Source organism: Homo sapiens, chromosome 3, assembly GCF_000001405.40.
Source record: "Homo sapiens chromosome 3, GRCh38.p14 Primary Assembly".
NCBI lineage: Eukaryota > Metazoa > Chordata > Mammalia > Primates > Hominidae > Homo > Homo sapiens.
In genome coordinates, this window is record NC_000003.12 from 56,108,103 (window position 1) to 56,128,241 (window position 20,139).

The 20,139-nt window shown below is 38.7% G+C and overlaps 1 protein-coding gene across 21 annotated transcripts in view, besides 4 other annotated features; it reads right to left on the bottom strand.

Annotated features, from left to right (window-relative positions):
• Positions 1-20,139, bottom strand: part of ERC2 (ELKS/RAB6-interacting/CAST family member 2) — a 960,157-nt gene that overhangs the window by 599,792 nt on the left and 340,226 nt on the right. The window lies entirely within an intron of this gene.
• Positions 2,665-3,476: an enhancer, noted in NCBI's record as "H3K27ac-H3K4me1 hESC enhancer chr3:56144795-56145606 (GRCh37/hg19 assembly coordinates)". NCBI's record gives its function as "activates a minimal SCP1, AML or CMV promoter by ChIP-STARR-seq in naive H9 embryonic stem cells {active_cell/tissue: H9 hESC(naive)}" and the evidence as "EXISTENCE:reporter gene assay evidence [ECO:0000049][PMID:30033119]".
• Positions 3,477-4,287: an enhancer, noted in NCBI's record as "NANOG-H3K27ac-H3K4me1 hESC enhancer chr3:56145607-56146417 (GRCh37/hg19 assembly coordinates)". NCBI's record gives its function as "activates a minimal SCP1, AML or CMV promoter by ChIP-STARR-seq in naive H9 embryonic stem cells {active_cell/tissue: H9 hESC(naive)}" and the evidence as "EXISTENCE:reporter gene assay evidence [ECO:0000049][PMID:30033119]".
• Positions 7,581-8,081: an enhancer, noted in NCBI's record as "OCT4-NANOG hESC enhancer chr3:56149711-56150211 (GRCh37/hg19 assembly coordinates)". NCBI's record gives its function as "activates a minimal SCP1, AML or CMV promoter by ChIP-STARR-seq in naive and primed H9 embryonic stem cells {active_cell/tissue: H9 hESC(naive and primed)}" and the evidence as "EXISTENCE:reporter gene assay evidence [ECO:0000049][PMID:30033119]".
• Positions 15,364-15,906: an enhancer, noted in NCBI's record as "OCT4-NANOG hESC enhancer chr3:56157494-56158036 (GRCh37/hg19 assembly coordinates)". NCBI's record gives its function as "activates a minimal SCP1, AML or CMV promoter by ChIP-STARR-seq in naive H9 embryonic stem cells {active_cell/tissue: H9 hESC(naive)}" and the evidence as "EXISTENCE:reporter gene assay evidence [ECO:0000049][PMID:30033119]".

Sequence of the window (20,139 nt, forward strand, 5' to 3'; positions counted from 1 at the left end):
TAACAGAAATACCACATCAATAAGCAAAGTAAGAAAAGCTAGTGAGCACTTTAATTGATATTAAAGTATTATTTAGTAAAATGCAACTTTCATTCCTATAAACATTTTTAAAGGGAAATGGAAGCTCTCTCAACATGAGGGAAAGTATTTCCACAGCAAAGAACCAATATGTCATTACTCAAGAAACTCCTTAGGCCATTCCCATAGAAAATATAAGCAAATATTTAATGTTTTGAAGTTTATCGCAGAACAACACACAAAAAATATTTTCAAAGTAGAAATAGTGACAACAAAGGGATAAAGATAATATTATTTGCCTTAACATATAAAGAAAATTTAAATAACCAATAATTTTTTATAATCTTAGGAAAAAATAATGATCTGAATACAAATATATATACACATATCTATTTCTTATACATATTTCAAAATGACATTACAAAAGATAAATCACTTAGGAATAAACTTAATAAGCATCATAAAAACACTGAAAACAGGAAAATAATTGACAGTATATCATATTTACTTAAACTAATCAATTCTCCCTAAGTTAATTTATAGATTGAATGTACCCTATAGATGATTCTTTTTAAAAATAAAGAAAATGTTTCTAGAAATCAACTAGGGGGAAATCAGGTAAGCATGTCCAATACCATTCTGAAAAAGCAATTCTGGATTGAAAGGAGCAATCTCTTATCTATCCAGAACATAAAGTAGGAGAGCCTGCTGTAGGATACAAGATTAATAATCAGGCTGACATACAGTCCCCAAACAGAGCCAATGATAGATGAGAAATAATATGAAGAATGAATCAAAAACAGTGAAGAAAGACCATTAAATAAATTATATTAAGATAAATTAAACAGAAAGAAATTAACTTAAATTCATGCTTTGTAACATCAAAATAGACTCTTTTTTTAAACTTTCATTTTAGATTCGAGGATACATGTGCAGGTTTGTTATATAAGTAAACTTGTGTCACAGGGGTTTGTCATATAAATTATTTCATCGCCCAGGTACTAAGCCTAGTACCTAATAGTTATTTTTTCTGCTCCTCTCTCCCTCCTTCCCCCTCCCACCTTCTACCTTCAGGTAGGCCCCAGCATCTGCGGTTCCCCTCTTTGTGTTCATGAGATCTCATCATTTAACTTGTAAGTGAGAACATGCGGTATTTGATTTTCTGTTCCTGCTTTAGTTTGCTAAAGATAATGGCCTCCAGCTCCATCCATGTTCCACAAAAGACATAATCTCATTCTTTTTTATGGCTGCATAGTATTCCATGCTGTATATGTACCACATTTTCTTTATCCAATCTGTTACTGATGGGCATTTAGGTTGATTCCATGTCTTTGCTATTGTGAATAGTGCTGCAATGAACATTCACATGCATGAGTCTTAAAATAGACTCTTGACAGATCTAATCTATCAAGGAAGTTTTTTTCCAAATAAAGTTAAACTGGTTACACGAATTATAGTCCATGCACATAACAGAATATGATGCAGCAGTGAAAAGCCTGAGGTCAGCCATCTCTTGGGTAGAATGAATTCTTGGGTGTCCTGCTAAGTAAAGAATGTAAAGGTACACAACTGTGGCCATGGGACACTTCCAACTGCAGTGTTGAAATTGCTTTGACTTTGTACATGTATTGTACTTCCAAAAAGAACAAATAAACTATAAAGAAACAAATGTTTAAAAACCAACAACAACAAACATCAAGGCGCAGAGAACAAGCTGAAATTAGAAGACAGGACTTATCTGATCCTTGGAAGAACTAAAAAAGTGATGACAGAAATGACTGACAAATTCAACTGTATGTACAGCCAAAAACCTCATGACAACTCACAAAACCAAAATTTAGAAGACAAACAACAAAATGGGGGTAAATGTCTGCATTAACTAAGGAAGAGTTAATATTTCTAATATGAGATTACACTAGACAAGAATCCACCATATAGGCAAATCACGGCGAAAATATACACAGTAAACAAAGCATGGAAATATATTCAACCCTGCAATATAATTAAAGTTGTAAAAAGGCAGGATAGTGTTATGCTGAACATTTTCACTTTAAAAGACCCAGTACTAGCAAGGCTATAGGAAATTTGGTATCAGTCTTTTGCTGAGGTATTATAATAGGTACACGAGCACCTTTTAAAAAGCAATTTCAAAGTGCACAGAATATGCCATAAAAGTGGTTATACCCTTTGACCCAGTAATCCAAATGTTCAAAGATATTCCCACTGCAATACTAACTATACAAGTGAAAAATTTTAGAAATAGCTGCAATGAACAAAAGTAGAAGTGTGGCAAGGGAAATCATGACACACAGTGTGATTAAGAATAAAATTAAGAGGCTTATAACTACATGGGCACAAGTTTAATGACAAAAAGTTAAATTTAAAAACTCAAAACCCTGAATTTTGGCTATATTATAAATGCAACTATATTTAATATAATGTACATACAACATAACAAAGTCCCAAAGGAACATGGAAAGAATTTTTTAAATTCTGTCATAATGTTAAAATTATGATGGATTTAAGCATTGATATCATTAGAGCATATTAACAATACATTACAAGGGGAATTATAAATTATTTTTGGAAAATGGCCTGTAGGCAGGATTGAGACAGGTAAATATTTTTCAAAAATTTCCCCAGCATGATATGATACATCAATACTGGCTTATTTGATTCTACATATCTAAATGGATAATCAAAGACTAATCTAGAATGAGAGCTAGAAGAAAAAGACTTTGACTGCATCTCATGTCTGCCAAGGTCACCTCTGGAGTCCAGAATACACATCTGCTCTTATTAGGGTCTCTACCTGTTCATATGGAATACTCCTAGTTCTTTTGATTGTTGGCCTGATCACTGTCTCCCAGATGTTTTCAAGGGGGTGGGGGTAGGGCCACCGAGGGACAGTGGCTCAAGGACTCTAAGTCTCTCTCCAATTGAGGGCACATGACCTCTACATTCCCATTATAGACCCCAGAAAGTTATGTGTGAAGGAATGTGTCCTGGTGTGTCCCTGAGGCTGTGTTCTATGAACTCAAATCCTGTGCTTCAGTCCCAGTGTCTTTAAGAGATTCACTTTCTAACAGCCAAGACCAATTCGTAGTTTAGACAAAAACAAGACAAGCAATCAGCTCAATAATGCACTCAATCTCTCGCTCCCTCTTTCTCTCTCCCTCTTTCTCTCTCTCCCTCTTTCTCTCTCTCTCTCTCAATCTCTCTCCCTCAATCTCTCTCTCCCTCAATCTCTCCCTCTCTCTCCCTCAACCTCTCCCTCTCTCTCTCTCAGTTCTATCCCCCCCTCTCTCTCACCAGCTCCAAGAGTGCACCTCCTCCTGCCTTTGGTGTTGATAATGTCAAAAGTATCAAAGGGCAAAATCTGCCAAATAAGGGTAAATCAGAAAAACAGCAGCTGGTTCAGAAAGAGAACTGTGGCACTTTACGGAGCAGACCACTTACAGCAGCACCCACACAAGACAAAGCTCAGTAAGTCAGCCATACTCATTATTAAACCATCTAAGCCAGGGAGAAAACGAAGATGATGGTCTGAAATTCATTCATAGGATTTCAATACAAAGCTGGTTTTACCTAACTTTACAACAGCCAGTTTCCACTGAACCATGTCACAGCTCCACAAGAAAAGCCAAATGGCTCATTATGTGAAAAGTTCCAATGACTGTTTTTTAATGTTTAGCAGCAGTTGCTTGGCTCGGCCACTGCAACAAATATTGCTGAACTGTTTAACTTACAAGAGACATTTAAAAGCAAAAAAGCCCAAATTCTAAATATGCAATTCATAAAATAGCATATTTTCTTTAATTCATTTTCTCAAAGTTTACAATATCTGTACTAATTCTCTGTAACTAGATATGTTCTGGATACATTCTCAGAGAATCTGTGCAGAATAAAAATTTGAAACATCTTAAAACTAACTAAAAACATCTTTCTAGTATGCTGCAAGGCAAATGCTTTTTAGATGTTTTGCATTTTTATGCTAAACAGTGCAGCTGCGACTGATAAAAAGCAATCAAGCTAATTTAAGTCAATCAACTCCAGGAGGTTCTCATCACTTGGATAAAAATGCTCTCTCACTCCTTAGAAAATAAATAAAGATTTAACAGAGTGACTGCATTTTCTTGACTCTGCTTTCTTGCCATTCCAAAGGCAGCATATAACCAAGAAGTCATGTCAAGCAATTTTTGTCACAAGTTTAAAGCATAATGCAAACTTTTAAGTCATATTTAATTAAGTAATCCTGGGCCATAGCACATCAACAGAGAATAACAAACCTTGAGTGAGAAAAGACAGACAGACACACACACACACACACACACACACACACACACATTGGCACACACACATAGGCACACACTTATGAAAGGTACAAAATTTTCATTAGAGAGACCATCAATTCCTCTTCAGTCTTTAAGGAGAGTATCACATTAAAACAATTTAGTTCTGGCTGGTTGTCATTATTAAAAGGTGATCCTGGAATTTGAAAAATCACTATTTTAAAATTCGTAAGTTCAGGGGTAAACTGTAAAGCAGAGTTCATGCACTTCACTAAGTTCATACATATATTAGGAGAAAACCAGGAGGGATGGTTACAAAGTATTTTACTAAAAATAAAGATAAAGATAATATATGTTGAAGATTTAGTGCCGAAGAGAGGAGGAGCCAGTCTAAATTTCCCATTTCCACCGGGAGGTCAACACCACACTCCTCTGATGCCTGCAAATATGACTTACATAAGTTCAAGCAGTAGCCGATAAAGGCCCATCATCAGACATATTAGCTACCTAGGCAGAAAAGATCCATCAAAGCCATTTGGTCTTTCAATAAGTGATCCCCAACAGGCAATATAAAAAAAATCAGAAAAAGCTTATCTCCCTCTCACAGTGTAAAACCCTGGCCAAGTTACTGAGAAATTATACATATATCTTTCTCAATCTAATAGGTGGGGTGTTAATATCCATTCTGAAAATTAACTATCTGACAGGGCCGAGCATAGCAGTGCTAATTTATAAGAGATATCAGATTCTATATCAGAGCCATGTATGAACACAATTTTTCTTTATTAATTTACTGAATATAGAAAGATGGGATACATTAAGGAAAAGATGACAACAAATGAAAGAAAGAGCTGGAACATATTACTCTCTAAAGCTTCTATGAAATTAGTCATGTGAATAGTACTGAAAAGATGAATCAAGTTTTTTAATGGAGTTTCAGAGCAGAAAACACTAAGGAGCATCAGTCCCTGCTGACCATAAAGATACCTCACGCTTGCTGTTGAGCAAGAATGTAGGAAAATACCTTCATATAGCAGCCCTCTATGATTTAATGCCCACATATGGAAATTCCACACACTTTGCAGTGGGTATATGTGTGTGTGTGTTCTCTAGGAATGTAGAATGTTACATTAAAAGAAGAAAACTCTTTCTATACTCACAATACTTCTGACACCAAATGTATGGGGTTTTCACATGAAGCAAGTCTCCAATTCTTTGCAGATACAAACTGGGTATCCTAAAATTAAACTCAATTCCGACACTATCTACTCAGAATTAGCACAGACCTCACAGGTTAAGGACTCAGTCACACAAGACTGCCCCCCACCCTCCCACTTCAGATGCCAATTGCATGTAGTGGGTCCCCAGGTTACCTACACTTCCATCTGACTTAATTATAAATCAGGGGTTCCCGTAATCCCCTCCTAAGTTTTGGAAATTTGCTAGAATCGCTCACATAGCTCAGGGAAACATATCACTTGTGAATATAGGCTTATTACTGTCAACTGAAGAATCATAAGGTTCATATATTTAGAGAGGAGAGCTTTATTTCTTGTAGAGAGTTGCAGCCTGCAGCCTGGCCATCCTGCTGGCTAAGAGGTGTATCCTCTGGCAGAAACTAAAAGCAAGCACTTCAAGGGAGGACAGGGCAAAACAGGAGTTCATGCCAAATGGGTTGGCTAAGTATACATATTTAACAGGTTGCAAAAAGAGCTATGAATATTCATGAAGGAGGCTTGCATGCACAGTAAGCAAACATGCACGTTACATACATCCCATGTTCACTTTGGAGTGGAGACTTAACATTTAAATGTATTAAAATTAAGCTCTATATGTTAAAAGGTGAAACGGAGGACACAGGCATCCTGTATGAGTAGCCTCTATAAACCAGCCAGAGGAAGTCCATGGTCAGTGGTCTTCTAAGAAAAAAGGAATGCTAGTCAGTTATTGTGTAAATCAGTGGTGGAGCAAATTTTTCCAAAGGGCTGGTTTCCATTCAACCCTTACGAAAGAAAGTCTAAAGGCAGTTATCTAGGGAGTGGGTATAACAGGCATGTCTGACCTCCCATCATGTCATGGCCAGGAACTCAGTTTTTAAGGTTTCTCTGGGGTTCCTTTAGCCAAGAGGGGGTTCCATTCAGTGAGTAGGGGGATTAGGATTTTATTTTTCTTTCCCATTATAAAGGATACAACCCAGGAACAAACAAATGGAAGAGATGCATAGGGCAACACAAGACACCCTCCCACCACTTCAGCATGTTCACCAGCCTGAAACTGCCCTTGCAAAGATTAGAACAGTGAGAAAATTGTAACAGTGAAAGAGATCGGACCTAACCAACTCCATCTTGCCTTTAACCTCCAAGCTGCCTTTTTCATTCCCGGGTGTAGAGTAAACTAACTTTGAGAAGAATTGAGTTGATAGTTTAATTTTGAAACAAAAATGGTAGCCCCTCCCTGAAACAAAGCCTTCCTTGCTTGGGGACCAGATTGTCTTTGTAAAGCCAACAAATTAGCCACAAGATTAGAAATCATGGCTCAGGAATCATGCAGCCAGAGACCTCAAGATTCCTAACCTCCCCAATTCCTTGTATGGATAACAACACTATGTCAAACCTAAGATTGGTGTTTAAGGTATTTTTCAGACCCTGAATTCTGATGGATCAGCTGGTGCCACTAAGACCAGTAAATTGGCTCATCTGGTCTTGTGGGCCCCAAGAAGGAATTGACTTCCAGTCTCCCCTTTGGCCAGCTCCACATGCATTAAACTCTCTCTATTGCAATTCCCCTGTCTTGATGAATTGGCTCTATATGGGCAGTAGGCAAGATAAACCCATTGGGCAGTTACAAACCCAGAAGCTCTCTGAACCCCAATGTTTAGGGTTTTGATAGCAGTTCCATTACATAGGCATGCCTGATTCAATCACTGGCCATTCTCCAGCCCCTATCCCCTCCTCGAAGGTGAGACTTGGGGAGGGCTAACCATAGGGTTGGTTCCTCTAGGAACCAGCCCCCATTCTTCAAGAGTCACGTCATTAACATAAACTCAGGTGTAGTTGAAAAGGGCTTATCACAGGTAACAAAGGAAGCTACCCTTACCCTAGGGCTCAGAAATGCCAAAGGTTTTAAGAACTCTGTACCAAGGACCAGGATGAAAACCAAATATAAATTTATTATTATATCACAAACATATATATCACAGGTTCTTTTAATTCCCAGAGAAACAATTTTCTTGCATTATCAAGGACCTGAGTGTATGAATCATGCCTTTTTTTCAGTGTTTCTAATGCTCTGACATTTGGAGCCTTGCTGACCCTCCAAACAACTAAGGACTGGGAGAGACTGCCCCTCCCAGAGCTAGCCAATTCCTAGAGATTACAAGGGACTCACCTTTTAGCATGCCTTTCATATGCAAGCCAACCATCCAGAACCCTCACCCTACCACCTCCTGCATTAGGAGCACACACTGAAGGCCACCCTCCCCCTGCTGTAATCCCTCCAGGGCCAGGTACCCAACAACTAAGGACAGCCCTTAGGCCCCATGCAGAGCCCATTGAGATTATTCAAACGAGCTAATTCTAAACCCTGCCCCATCTCTTCTTTCCCTGGGAAACTGCTATAAAGGCTCTTGCCATGTTTCTCCTCCCTCTCTCTGCCTCCTGACCGACCCTAGTGCTTTCCTGTATGGTCCCATGTGGCAGGGTGTGCCCCTTCCTCTTGGAAGTGGTAATGAACTATCTTGCCAGTGGCAGTTGTCTCCTGATCTGTTGACCTCACCATATCTGAATAAAAAGAAAATCTTTTTTAAGACAATAAGAAATCCATATTTTACTCTACTTTACCCTAGCCTAAACAAGTATAGCCCAGAAGCTTGGCTTTAGAAATATTTATGACCAAGGGTTTGTTGGCTGCCATGAAATTGTAAGTTATAAGGGCAGATGTACCTCTGGCATTGAACCTGGAAGGGTCAAACTTGTCCCCCAGGTAATGCAGAGTCAAGGCATTTTCTTGAGAACAGAATAGCAAGCCTTTACATCTTCCTGCAGGAGGAAATGGCAGGCATCTACAGAAGGAACAGGTGTATGTGCATTGGGACACTACCACATACTTGCAGTCACATGTTCCAGAAATATTTTATTCAATATTCATAAAGTCAGGCTCTTCACATCTTCCCACCTGTCCTCCCCTTTCCAGACACACAACATCATGAGGGATTCCCTGAGCACACACTTCACTCTCTCTATCTTTGCTCATGCTGTGCCCTCAACCTGGAATGCCATGCCTTCTTCTAGCCATTTTTTTCCATCAGGATTCTATTATCCTTCAAATCCTGGTTTGCCACTGTAATGGGGCCTTCCTACATGCTCCAGCCTGAAGGAATTGATTCTTGCCCCTCCTCTCTGACACCTCTTTCATGTTCCTTGTCTGGCTCTTCCTGGGGGACCATGTTTATTTCTATTATAAAAAATGTATATTAATAGTGAAGACTTTATTGAGTGCTCTGTATTTGGCAGGCATTATGCTAAATTTTTCACCTGCATCCTATTACTGAATGCTTATTCTCACCCTTTAAGGAAAATATTCTTAATCATACCTGTTTTACAGTTGAGAAGGTTTTGGAAGGTTAGGCAAATTGTCCAAGACCACAGTAGTCAAAAGATAAATCCTGGATTTGAACCTGGATTCCTCTGACACAAAGCCTCTGCTCTGAAGAGATGGTGCTGCCCCTTCCTGAGCTACATACTGCCTAGGAGGGTAAGACTGTCTCAGTCATTTGCAAATGCTCTCGCTGTGCTTGGCTCAGTGCTTACAGTGGAGAGTGGATGCTTAATGGTCACTAGACTGAATAAATAATTCTAGTCATGTTTGAAAATTATGAATTGCAATTGTTCCTTCATTGTGCTTTCTCACTTATCTGGTAATATGCTATTACCTGGATTTCCCCATGTCAATATGAATTTTACATAATCCTCCACAGGAAACCATTTGGCCTCCATTCTATGTAACTAGCTGCTAAGACAAAGACAACAGGTTCAAGAGACATTTCCATCCTTAGAAGATATCCTCAACAATCATGAGGAGCATGAGTAGAGCGCTTGGCCCCAAAGAACACTCGTATGCATTGTATCCATTTCACCCCTTCCTAGTCAAGTGACCTTGCACCTGTAAATCAGGATAAGAGGACTCCCTCAAGGGGGTGTTGTGAAAATAGCATGATGTAAGGCAGGTAGAGTGTGGGCATGAAGTTTGACACATATAGAGTGCTCAGTAAGCTGTTCAAAAGGAAGGAGTAGGAAGAGAAATCATAGCTACAGCTCACTAAATACACAAGAAAAATCACATTCGATGAGCACCTGCTCTGTAAAAGGAGTTCATCCTTGTCTACACTGTATTGTCACTTCAGCATCCAATGAGCTCTCCAAATGCTCAACAACAGGCTGGAGGAAGGAAAAGGCACCATGGCAATGAGAACCAGCTTTTCTAAGACACAGGGGTTTAGAGGTGAGCAGATTTTAGACAGTGAATTGACTATTCTGAGCAGAGGAAATGCAAGGAAGAAGCCACCCCAGGGAGAGGGAATGGGCCAGCCTGGCCACAGGGATAGCTGAAGCAGCCCTTTTAATTATTCTACCTCTATGACCCAATGGCCAGAATAGAGAATATGTTCAGGGCTTTGGCATTAGACTGGCTGGAGTTACAATCCTGGTCTGCCACTTCAGACAATGGGGCCTAGAGCAAGTTACTCAGCTTCCTCATCTGTAAAACAGGATGGCCTTATTTATAGGGACCATGCTGAGCACATGCTAGACATAGAGTAAATGCTCAGTTAATGGTAGTTTGTTACTAATATGAGCAGGGTCTATAAAATGGGATACTTCTACCTCAGAGGATCATTGTGAGGGTTCAAGGAGATGACACGCAAATCTCCTAGCACAGTGCCTAAAACACCATAGGTGAGCACTAAATGTGAGGTATGATTGTTAGTAGTGACAGTAATAATATTGATATAACATGCACAAAGCTCAGCTATTACAGCAGGAATTTCCTAGAAGGAAACAGCAAGAAAGAAGATAATATTAAGAAGAAAAATAAATAGCAAGAACATATTATGTGCCAGGCACCAAGCTAGGTCTTTTCCATGTACTAATTTGTTCCTTTACACAGCCTTATGCCTACGTAGTATAATTCCCAGTTTTCTAAGGAAGTTCACACTAATATTCCTTTTCTTTTTTTTTTTTTTTTTTGAGACAGAGTCTTGCTCTGTCGCCCAGGCTGGAGTGCAGTGGCGTGATCTCGGCTCACTGCAAGTTCCGCCTCCCGGGTTCACGCCATTCTCCTGCCTCAGCCTCCCGAGTAGCTGGGACTACAGGCACCCGCCACCACGCCCGGCTAATTTTTTGTATTTTTAGTAGAGACGGGGTTTCACCGTGTTAACCAGGATGGTCTTGATCTCCTGACCTTGTGACCCACCCGCCTCGGCCTCCCAAAGTGCTGGGATTACAGGCTCGAGCCACTGTGCCCGGCCACAGTAATATTCTTAAGCAAGGCTTGGCAAATTGTTTTTGGTAAAGGGCCAGGTAGTAAATATTTTTGACCTTGCAGGATATCCAGTCTCTTTTGCAACGAATTAACTCTGCCATTGTAATGCAAAAGAATCTATAGACAATATGTTATGAATGGGCATGGATATGTTCCAATAAAACTTTATTTACAAAAGCAAGCAGCAACAGGATATGTCCTGCAGGCCATAGTTTGTTGACCTCTGCTTTAAACCATTGAGATTTTGAGGTTGTTACCACAGCTTAACACAGACCACACTATCTGACATAATTACTACCACACTTGACAAAGGAAATCTTGTTAAAGTGTTGCAGAGAAGCAACAGCACTTTTGCATTTCTCTATGAGAATATTTGTTAAAATGGGATCATGTGAAATTGACTTGGGTTCAGATTATTATTTAATCTGGCTAAGTCATATCTGTGTGATTTCTATCCACCAGGAAAAAAGTATTAACTGAACCTCTGGCTGGAAATGCTGTGCCATCCCCTTCTTCCCTGGTTTACTCCAACTCATCTTTCAGATCACAGATTAAGCATCTTTTCCCAGTAAGCCCAGCCTAGAACCACCTTTTACTCTTGCATAGTGCTTAGCTTCCTTTTCTCATTATAATTGTTTTACTGAAATTACTTGATTAATATCTTTCTCTTCCAGAGATGGAAAACTCCAGGAACACTGGAGCCATCTCTGGTTTATTCACTGTGGCATCCCCAATGTCTAACCCAGTGTTTGATAGACATAGTTGGAACTCAATAAATATTTGTTGTACCATAAAGCAATTAAGATGAATCATTAGTAGTCACCTTTCACTGGTAGTTCACAGCGCTGCAATGACCCATCCAAGGTAATGAAATGATATGACAGAGCTATAATTCAACCCAGGTTTGTCTTGATATCCAAGCCTTGCTCTTAAATAGAATACCCCACTGCCTCCCAGGGATCTGGAGATAACAATTGTGGGAAATAAAAGTACCAAAGAAAAGACCATCTTAGCAAAAAGGTAGAGAAGTATGGAGGGAGTTGAGTAATTGCCTTCAAAATGAGAATGCTCAAAAGTTTTCTTTGGTTTACTAAGATGTTTCAAGTGATGACTAACAGATGTCTTTTGTTTGGCCTGCACACTATTGCAAAATAATTTCTTAAATTAGTTGCCAGCATTGAAAAAAAAGAGAGAGAGAGAGATTCTACCCAAAAGTCTGGATTTCCTGCTTCTCTTAGAGTCAGAAGATCTGGCAACACTGGGCCTCTGGTTCCTAAGGGGAAGCATCAGCTTTCGATTGGGCGCCGGCTCTCCAGTTATGACAGTTCCCGCTCAGCCAGTTTCTCTGATTTATGAAACCCACTTGGACCCTATCACATTGATATAAAAACCCATGGATTTTATGGAGATTCAGTGGAGGCAATTTTAAGGGAAGAGGACTATGAGCTAAGTAGAATGGCAAGAGAGAGTGATTAGCTTCCTTTTGAAAAGATATCCAAAGAAAAGAAGAAAGGAATGGAGAGAGGGAAGAGAGAGATTGTAGTGTTGAGATTAGAAGCCAAAATGAAACTATTGAGGAGGTGGGAGGTTTTCACCTCAGCTGTAATTTTTTTAAGTGTCTAAATAAACAGGGGAAGTAAGAAAAGGTCAAAACTCTATAAAGCAGCTCCTGACACATGTAGTGCTGATGGAGGGAATGTCCACAGAATGATTCTTGTTAGAATGATCTGATATAGTATCCTGTGATGCAGAGGGTTCAAATATCTGAAAAGAGTTACCATGTGCAAAAATCTTAGTAACTATTTCATTCAGACCTTCCACACCTGGGAGCTTTGATTAAGAGCAGGGATCAGCAAACTACATTCTATAGAGAGGTCCACCATTTTGTTTGCCAGGCCATCTGATAACTGAACTTCAGGTCCATTTTAGAGTTAATGTTGGCTGGCCAGTAAATTTAATAATCAGAATATGTTATATACTATAAGGAAGGAAGATTGCTTCAGTTCCTGGAGGTAAAAGTACTGATAAGTCTGAAAAGGAAAACAAAAATGACCCCAGAATCATGCAGCTGGAAGAGCAGTGAAGTCAGGACAGCCCTAATTTGAAATCCTGCATGATTACTGTTTAGACCTGTGGCTTTGGAATATTTACTTTACCTCTAGGCCTCTGTTTTCTCACCTGTAGAATGGGGATAGTTCTATCTATTTTGCAAGATTGATATAAAAATTTACTAAGACAAAACTTAGTAAATGTATATCTGTATGTCTGTATGTATGTTTGTATGTCTGTAGCACATACAAGTCACTCTTTCTCGGTTCATCGATCTTTCTGAAATAGGTGTAGAAAGGTTAACTATTTGCATTAACTCGTATTGTCTTTACTTTTGAAAGTATTAGCAAAATGTATAATTGTAATACAATAAAAACAATTAGAACACTCCTGGATTTTCAGCAAGTACAATGTCTTTCTCTAAAACAAAGATGTATTATTTCAAAAGTATACATGGCTTACTTGAACCTATATACAGAAAGCATATCTATTATGAGTATCCTTATGACTTAAGTTATTTAAGTTTTTTATATTAATTTTCAAAAATACAAATGCTCCAACTCTCAAAGATTAAAAGTCCAGGCATTCTGTGCAGTTAAATATTTTTTCTTCTTAAGCAAGAGTTTTTACATCTTAAGGCTGAACTTTGAAGATACTGTTTATCTTTTGCATGTTTAATTAAAACTCTTAAATTTAATTCAGAAAGTCTCATTAAACCTATGCCTTTAGAAGGTTATTTTAGCAAAGCTTATATGTGTATATATATTTTAAACTAGGTGTTAATATAAACATGGGCGTTTTCTTCAAGTTTTTTCTCAAGGAAACTACAATGTTTGAGGCTTACCGTGCCCAGGAGTTTCAATTCCTCCCTGCAGCAACAGAAAACAAAGCAAATTGCTGCCACATGTGCTTGACTTCAATCCACACCAACTCTATGGATCCCACCTACAGCTCAGCCCCACTCCAGGGCAGAGACACACTACTGCACAACTGGCAACTGACAAAGGACTTCACCAAGACTATTTTGGCTTTGCCAAAATGGATGAAAGGTCACATAGTAACATAGTCTGGTTCTTAAAAATAAGTTTGTAATGGCAGAAACATTGGAAACAACCTGTTTATCTATAGGGGAATGATGAACTAAAGCACGGTATGTGGAGTAATGAGTAGCCATTGACAGGGAGGCAGGTCAGTATGCACAGATGTAGAAGGACCTCTCAGGCACAACAAGTGCAAAAGGCAAATTATTGTATTTCGTATCCCATATGATTTCATTATGTTGGGAAGATCCCAACAATATACATATAAATCCCCACACTTACATACAGCATTTAAATAATCTGAAGAATACACTCCCCAATGATAATGGTGGTGGCCCCTGGAGAAGGGGTGCAACTTCAGTGTGTTTGGAAAGATGCAAGAGGGATTTATTCTCGGTTTAAAATTTTTTGTTTTACCTTAAAAAAATTTTTTTTGACAATGCAAATGTAGTTTTGCATTACTTTATGATTTAAAAATAAATCAAAGCCATCCGCAATTCCAAAGAAGTGTTCTCCACTATAAAGAAAGAAGTCTGGTTGTCTTATTTTGGCCCATTCAGGTTGTGGTGAGTAGAGACATATTCAGATTTCACCAGGTAAAGAGGGCTTATGAGGGATCACAGGTACCCAGAAAACTGTAGGCAATAGGATGGCCAGGTCTTGGGGAGAATGATGACTCCCTTTCTAATTTACCAGAGCAACGGGTAGCTCAGGAAAAATGCCCGAATGCCCGTAAGTCTTATAATGCAATCTCCTTTTGCCACTGCTTCTGCTGCTTTAGCAACACCCTCCTGTCTCTCCACTTCATGACTGTTGCTTGCTCCTGGATTCTGCTGTCTCGTCGCTTCTGCTAAGTCCCTTCTCTTCACACCTCTCTTAATTTCTCTGCTACTTTATGGGCTTTAAGTCTTCATACCGCAAGTTCAACCACCCCAAGAAAACACAAAGCATAGTTGATGAACTTATCTACCATTCAATACACATCTCTTATCTCATTTAATCCTTGAAACAGCTGTTGCCCATTCAGTTATTCCACAACCCAGTAATTTGTCCTCGATTCCTCTCTTCCCAACCTCCTCCATATCCAATTTCTTCCCACATCCTGACATCTGCTATAGTCTGAATGCTTATGCCACCCACCCCCAAAATTCATATGTTGAAATATTAACCTCCAAGGTGATGGTATTAGGAAGTGGGGCCTTTTAGAGGTAATTAGGTCATGAGAGTGGAGCCCTCATGACTGGGATTCATACTCTTGCAAAAGAGACCCTACAGAGCTAGCTAGCCTTTCTTTCATGTGAGGACACAGCAAGAAGGTGCCATCTGTGAACCAGAAAACTGGCACTCCCCAGACATGGAGCCTGCTAGGACCTTGATCTTGGACTTCCCAGCCTCCAAAACTGTGAGGAAAAAAAAAAATTCTTGCTTCTAAGCCAGAAATTACCAGTTTATGGTAATTTTTTTATAACAGCCTAAAGGGACTGTGTAGACACTATCCTTCCGAAACATATAACAAAATCATTCTCTTGTCTCCATTTCTACAACCATCACTGGCTACAGACCACTGTCACTCCTCACCAGGATGTCTGCAATGGCCTCGCAGCCTCTACTCTGGCTCCACAGAGGCCATTCCTCACACAGCAGTCAGAGTGGTTGGTCTTTTAAGAATGCAAATCAGACCATCCACCCCTTTGCTTAAATACCTCCTGTGGCTCCCCATTGTACTGTGTCTCCTCTGTAATGCCGGTCTTGACTTCCTCCCCAACAGGCACATTAATCACCAGGGTTTTTGTAGTTCTTTGTTTCTGCCTTTATTATTGAATTTACTCTCTAGTGTTATTTTTGGTTCTGGGTCTATACATAAGGACGCCCTAAGGACAAGGGTATGTCGCCTAACTTACCCAGGGCTTTCTCAGCCAATTTGTATTACAGATAATTGTTAAAGTCCATTCTAACTATGGCCACTTTGCACATATGAAAGTTTTATAAAATAAGAAAGCCTATCAGAATCAGGAAGTACCAAACTCCTAGGATTGATTTAAGGATTATTTGACATTACAGATGGATTTGGCACCTGTAAGTGTTTAATAAATGTGATATGCTGCTATTATTTTATTCTTAATGATATATAAGACTTCCTGTTGGCAAAATGTGTTAAATTGCATTAATGCCATTAGTGACTTCATTCTACTGATTTTTCCAATTACAAGCACCTAAGGGAAAAATACTTTAATTATGTCAGTCATCTGTATAAGGCATCAGTTTGCCAGTAAAAATAAGAACATAAGAAATATTCCTGACTTGAATTACAAATTTCAGCTTACAGAAGTATAACACCCAGGATAAGGGTGTACGTAACAATTTATCTCTAAAGGACTGGCACGAAGCACCATGAAGATGAAGACAAATGCAAAGCTCTATTCACTTTTTCATAGTGGTCAATCAATGCAACATCTTCCTGGGTTCTGAAAAATTCCCAAACCTTGTAAAGATTCTTTGATCTAAACCCACACTTACAGTAGCTGAAAGGAGGGAATTGAGCAAAACCATACACCACAGAAGGAGGAAGAAATATAAGACAAGAAGGCTCCATTCTCAAGAAACTGAGAGTCAATTTAGAGAACAATTCTGGAAACTCAATGTTGAGTACTGTGCTAAGGCACAGCAGACAAAATGATTCAGGAGACATCATCTAGAGATGACGAGCACCAACAGGTGTCTGCCAGGACATAAAAATATGTGGAGAAATGGAGATGAGAAATATGGCCAAAAACAAAGAAAAAAGTGGGAAATGAGCTCATCAGGAACTCAGCTATATAAATTCTATAACTGAACAAAAGAAATGTTTTCAAATCACTGTCTTATTCTCTGAAATCTTACATAAATTAGTGAGCATCCTTATCTTTTTTTGCTAATCTACAGTACATTAAGATATCTTGATAATGATCTTACTCTATTGTATTTCATCCAACATGTGGTTTTACTTTGAAATTCACTTTCTAGAGAAAATGAGCTTCCTTCTTCTAGACTGGGATTTAGATAAACTCAATTTACAAAACATACGTTTTAACAAGTCCATATTGAATCTGCTTCAGCCTGGAGAAAGAATAAAAGAAAATAAAATTAACAAGGTCTTATTCCCTGTATATTATCTTTCATAAATCTTCTCTCTTTCTAAAATATGTAGGATAAATATTTAGGATTCCTTGAATCAGGCTTATGTTTTACTCATCAGAAACACCTAGACTGTAAGATTCACGGAAGACTCCAAGCAGGCAAAATAAAGTTTTCTAAACTTTATTTAGAAATCTGAACTGAGAGTAAAATAGAAATTAGGTTCCCCAGTGACTGATACCAATGTGGGTAAAAGAGATGATGTCAAGCAAAAATCGTGTGGCCATCATCTGTGCCTAGCAGCCCAAGGCACTTCCAGGGAAGTTATCATGAACTGACCCTGACTAAATGGAGTGAGTCATCAGCAGGTCCCTGACATCTGCCAGCTGCAAAGTCTTACAGCGACTGGCTAGATTGAAAAAAGATTTCCGAAAGTTTCAACATAAAAAGCCCAACTGATTCCACTTCCCTATCAGATTTCCCTGGGCTTGCTTCTAGGTCTTTTACATCCAAATTACCCTCTCATAAAAACAAAGACTTAGAAAAACTGCAAAAAGTTAAAATGACTCTTTCCTTCTGAAAGTATACTTTAGCTGAGTCGATAAAAGGTCTGAAATCATCTTTATGGTTGCCATCATGTTTGGAATAATTTAGCAGCAACAACATCTGTATAAATGAGGACATGAAGTCCCAAGGTAGGTGGGAGACTTCCTGTGGCTTATCCATGTCAATGGGAATAAAATTCAAAGAGCCCATGCAGGCAACTAATTTACTTTTATTTCATTTTTAATGTTTTATTATATAAATATCAAACATCGACAAAAGTTGAGAAAATAATGTAATGAACTCCATGTACCCAATTCTCAACTTCAACAAGTATCCACTTAGGGCTACTCCTGTTTCATCTGACTGCACTCTCCCTCCCCATCCCCCTGATTATTTTAAATAAAATCCCAGATATTACATCATTTCATCTATAAATATTTTAGTATAATCTTTAAAGATAAGGATTCCTTATTTTTAAAAATTCCATCTTCAAACTTTAGAAAAATTTGCCAAGTTTCATTTTTTAAAATGGCAACAAAAATTTTAAAACAGAGTCATTTGTCCTACTAGAATTTCCCATGATGGGGAGCTTGTTCACTATATGCAAATCAATAGAGGTGATACATCATGTTAACAGAATGAAGAACATAAACCATGTGATCATTTAAATAGATGCACAAAAAGCATTTGAAGAAGTTTAACATCCCTTCATGATAAAAACTCTCAACAAATTAGGCATAGAAGGAATGGACTCCAACTAGTTTGATGACATGATCTTACATATGGAAACCCTAAACACCTATAAACCCAACACTGTGAGAGGTTGAGGCACAAGGATCACTTGAGGCCAAAAATTTGAGATCAGCCAGGCAATACAGCAAGACCTCATTTCTACAGAAATAAAAATAAATTAGTTGGGTGTGGTGGTATGTAGTAGTCCCAGCTACTTGGGAGGCTGAGGCAGGAGGATTGCTTGAGCCCAGGAGTTCAAAGCTGCAATGAGCTATGATGGTAGTACTGCTCTCCAACCTGGGTGACAGAGTGAGATCTTGTAAGAAAAAAAAGAAGGAAGGAAGGAAAGAAAGAAAAGAAAGAAGGAAAGGAAAGGGAAGGAAAGGAAAGGAAAGGAAAGGAAAGGAAAGGAAAGGAAAGGAAAAGAAAGGCAAGGCAAGGCAAGGCAAGGCAAGAAGGGAAGGGCAGGGAAGGGCAGGGCAGGGAAGAGAAGCCCAAACACTACACTAAAAAACCCTCAGAACTAATCACCAAATTCAGTAAGGATGCAGGGTTACAAAATCAATATACAAAAATCAGTATCATTTATATAGGCTAATGGAGAACTATGTAAAAAAGAAATCAAGAAAACAATCCCATTTACAATAGCTGTAAAAAAATATATAAAATACCCAGGAATAACAAATGAGGTAAAAGATTACCACAATGAAAAATATAAAACATTGCTGAAAGAAACTGAAGACGACACAAATAAACCAAAAGATATCCCATGTTCACGGATTGGAAGAATTACTATTTTAAAATCTCCATACTACCCAAAGCTAACTACAGTCTCAATGCAATCCCTATTAAAATATCAATGACATTCTTCACAGAAATTGAAAAATAATCCTAAAATGTGTATGGAACCACAACAGATCCCGAAAAGCCAAAGCAATCAAGCAAAAAGAACAAAGCTGGAGGCATCACACCACTTAGCTTCAAAGTATACTATAAAGCTATAGTAAACAAACCAGGCTGGCCGCAGTAGCTCACACCTGTAATCCCAGCACTGTGGGAGGCTGAGGCAGGCAGATCACTTGAGGTCAGGAGTTCAAAACCAGCCTGCCCAATATGGCAAAACCCTGTCCCTACTAAAAATAATTAGCTGGGCACGGTGGCAGATGCCTGCAATCCCAGCTACTCGGGAGGCTGAGGCAGGAGAATTGCTTGAACCCAGGAGGCAGAGGTTGCTATGAGCCAAGATCATGCCACTGCACTCCAGCCTGAATGATAGAGCAAAACTCTGTCTCAAAAGAAAAAAAAAAAAAAACCAGCATAGTATTGGCATAAAAACAGATACATAGTCCAGTGGAACAAAACAGAGAGTCCAGAAACAAATCCACACATTTGTAGCCAACTGATTTTCAACAAAGATACGAAGTATACACAATGGGGAAAGGATAGTCTCTTCAATAAATGGTACTGGGAAAACTGGATATCTACATATAGAAGAAATAAATTAGACCCTATCTCTCACCATATACAAAAGTTAACTCAAAATTGTCTAAAAACTAAAATGTAAAATCCCCGGAGGCGGAGGTTGCAGTGAGCTGAGATCGCCTGCACTCCAGCAAGACTCCATCTCAAAAAAATAAATAAAAATAAATAAATAAATTTTTAAATTTTAAAAAAAAGATTTGTAAGTGAATAGTGCTCCAAGCACCAACACAAGCTCTCCTATTCATTAGGTACTTCCATGCACTTACCCTGTTTATATGCTCAAGGTCTTTGTAGGGCTTGTTTTACAGTTCACTAGACTGAATCTTCTA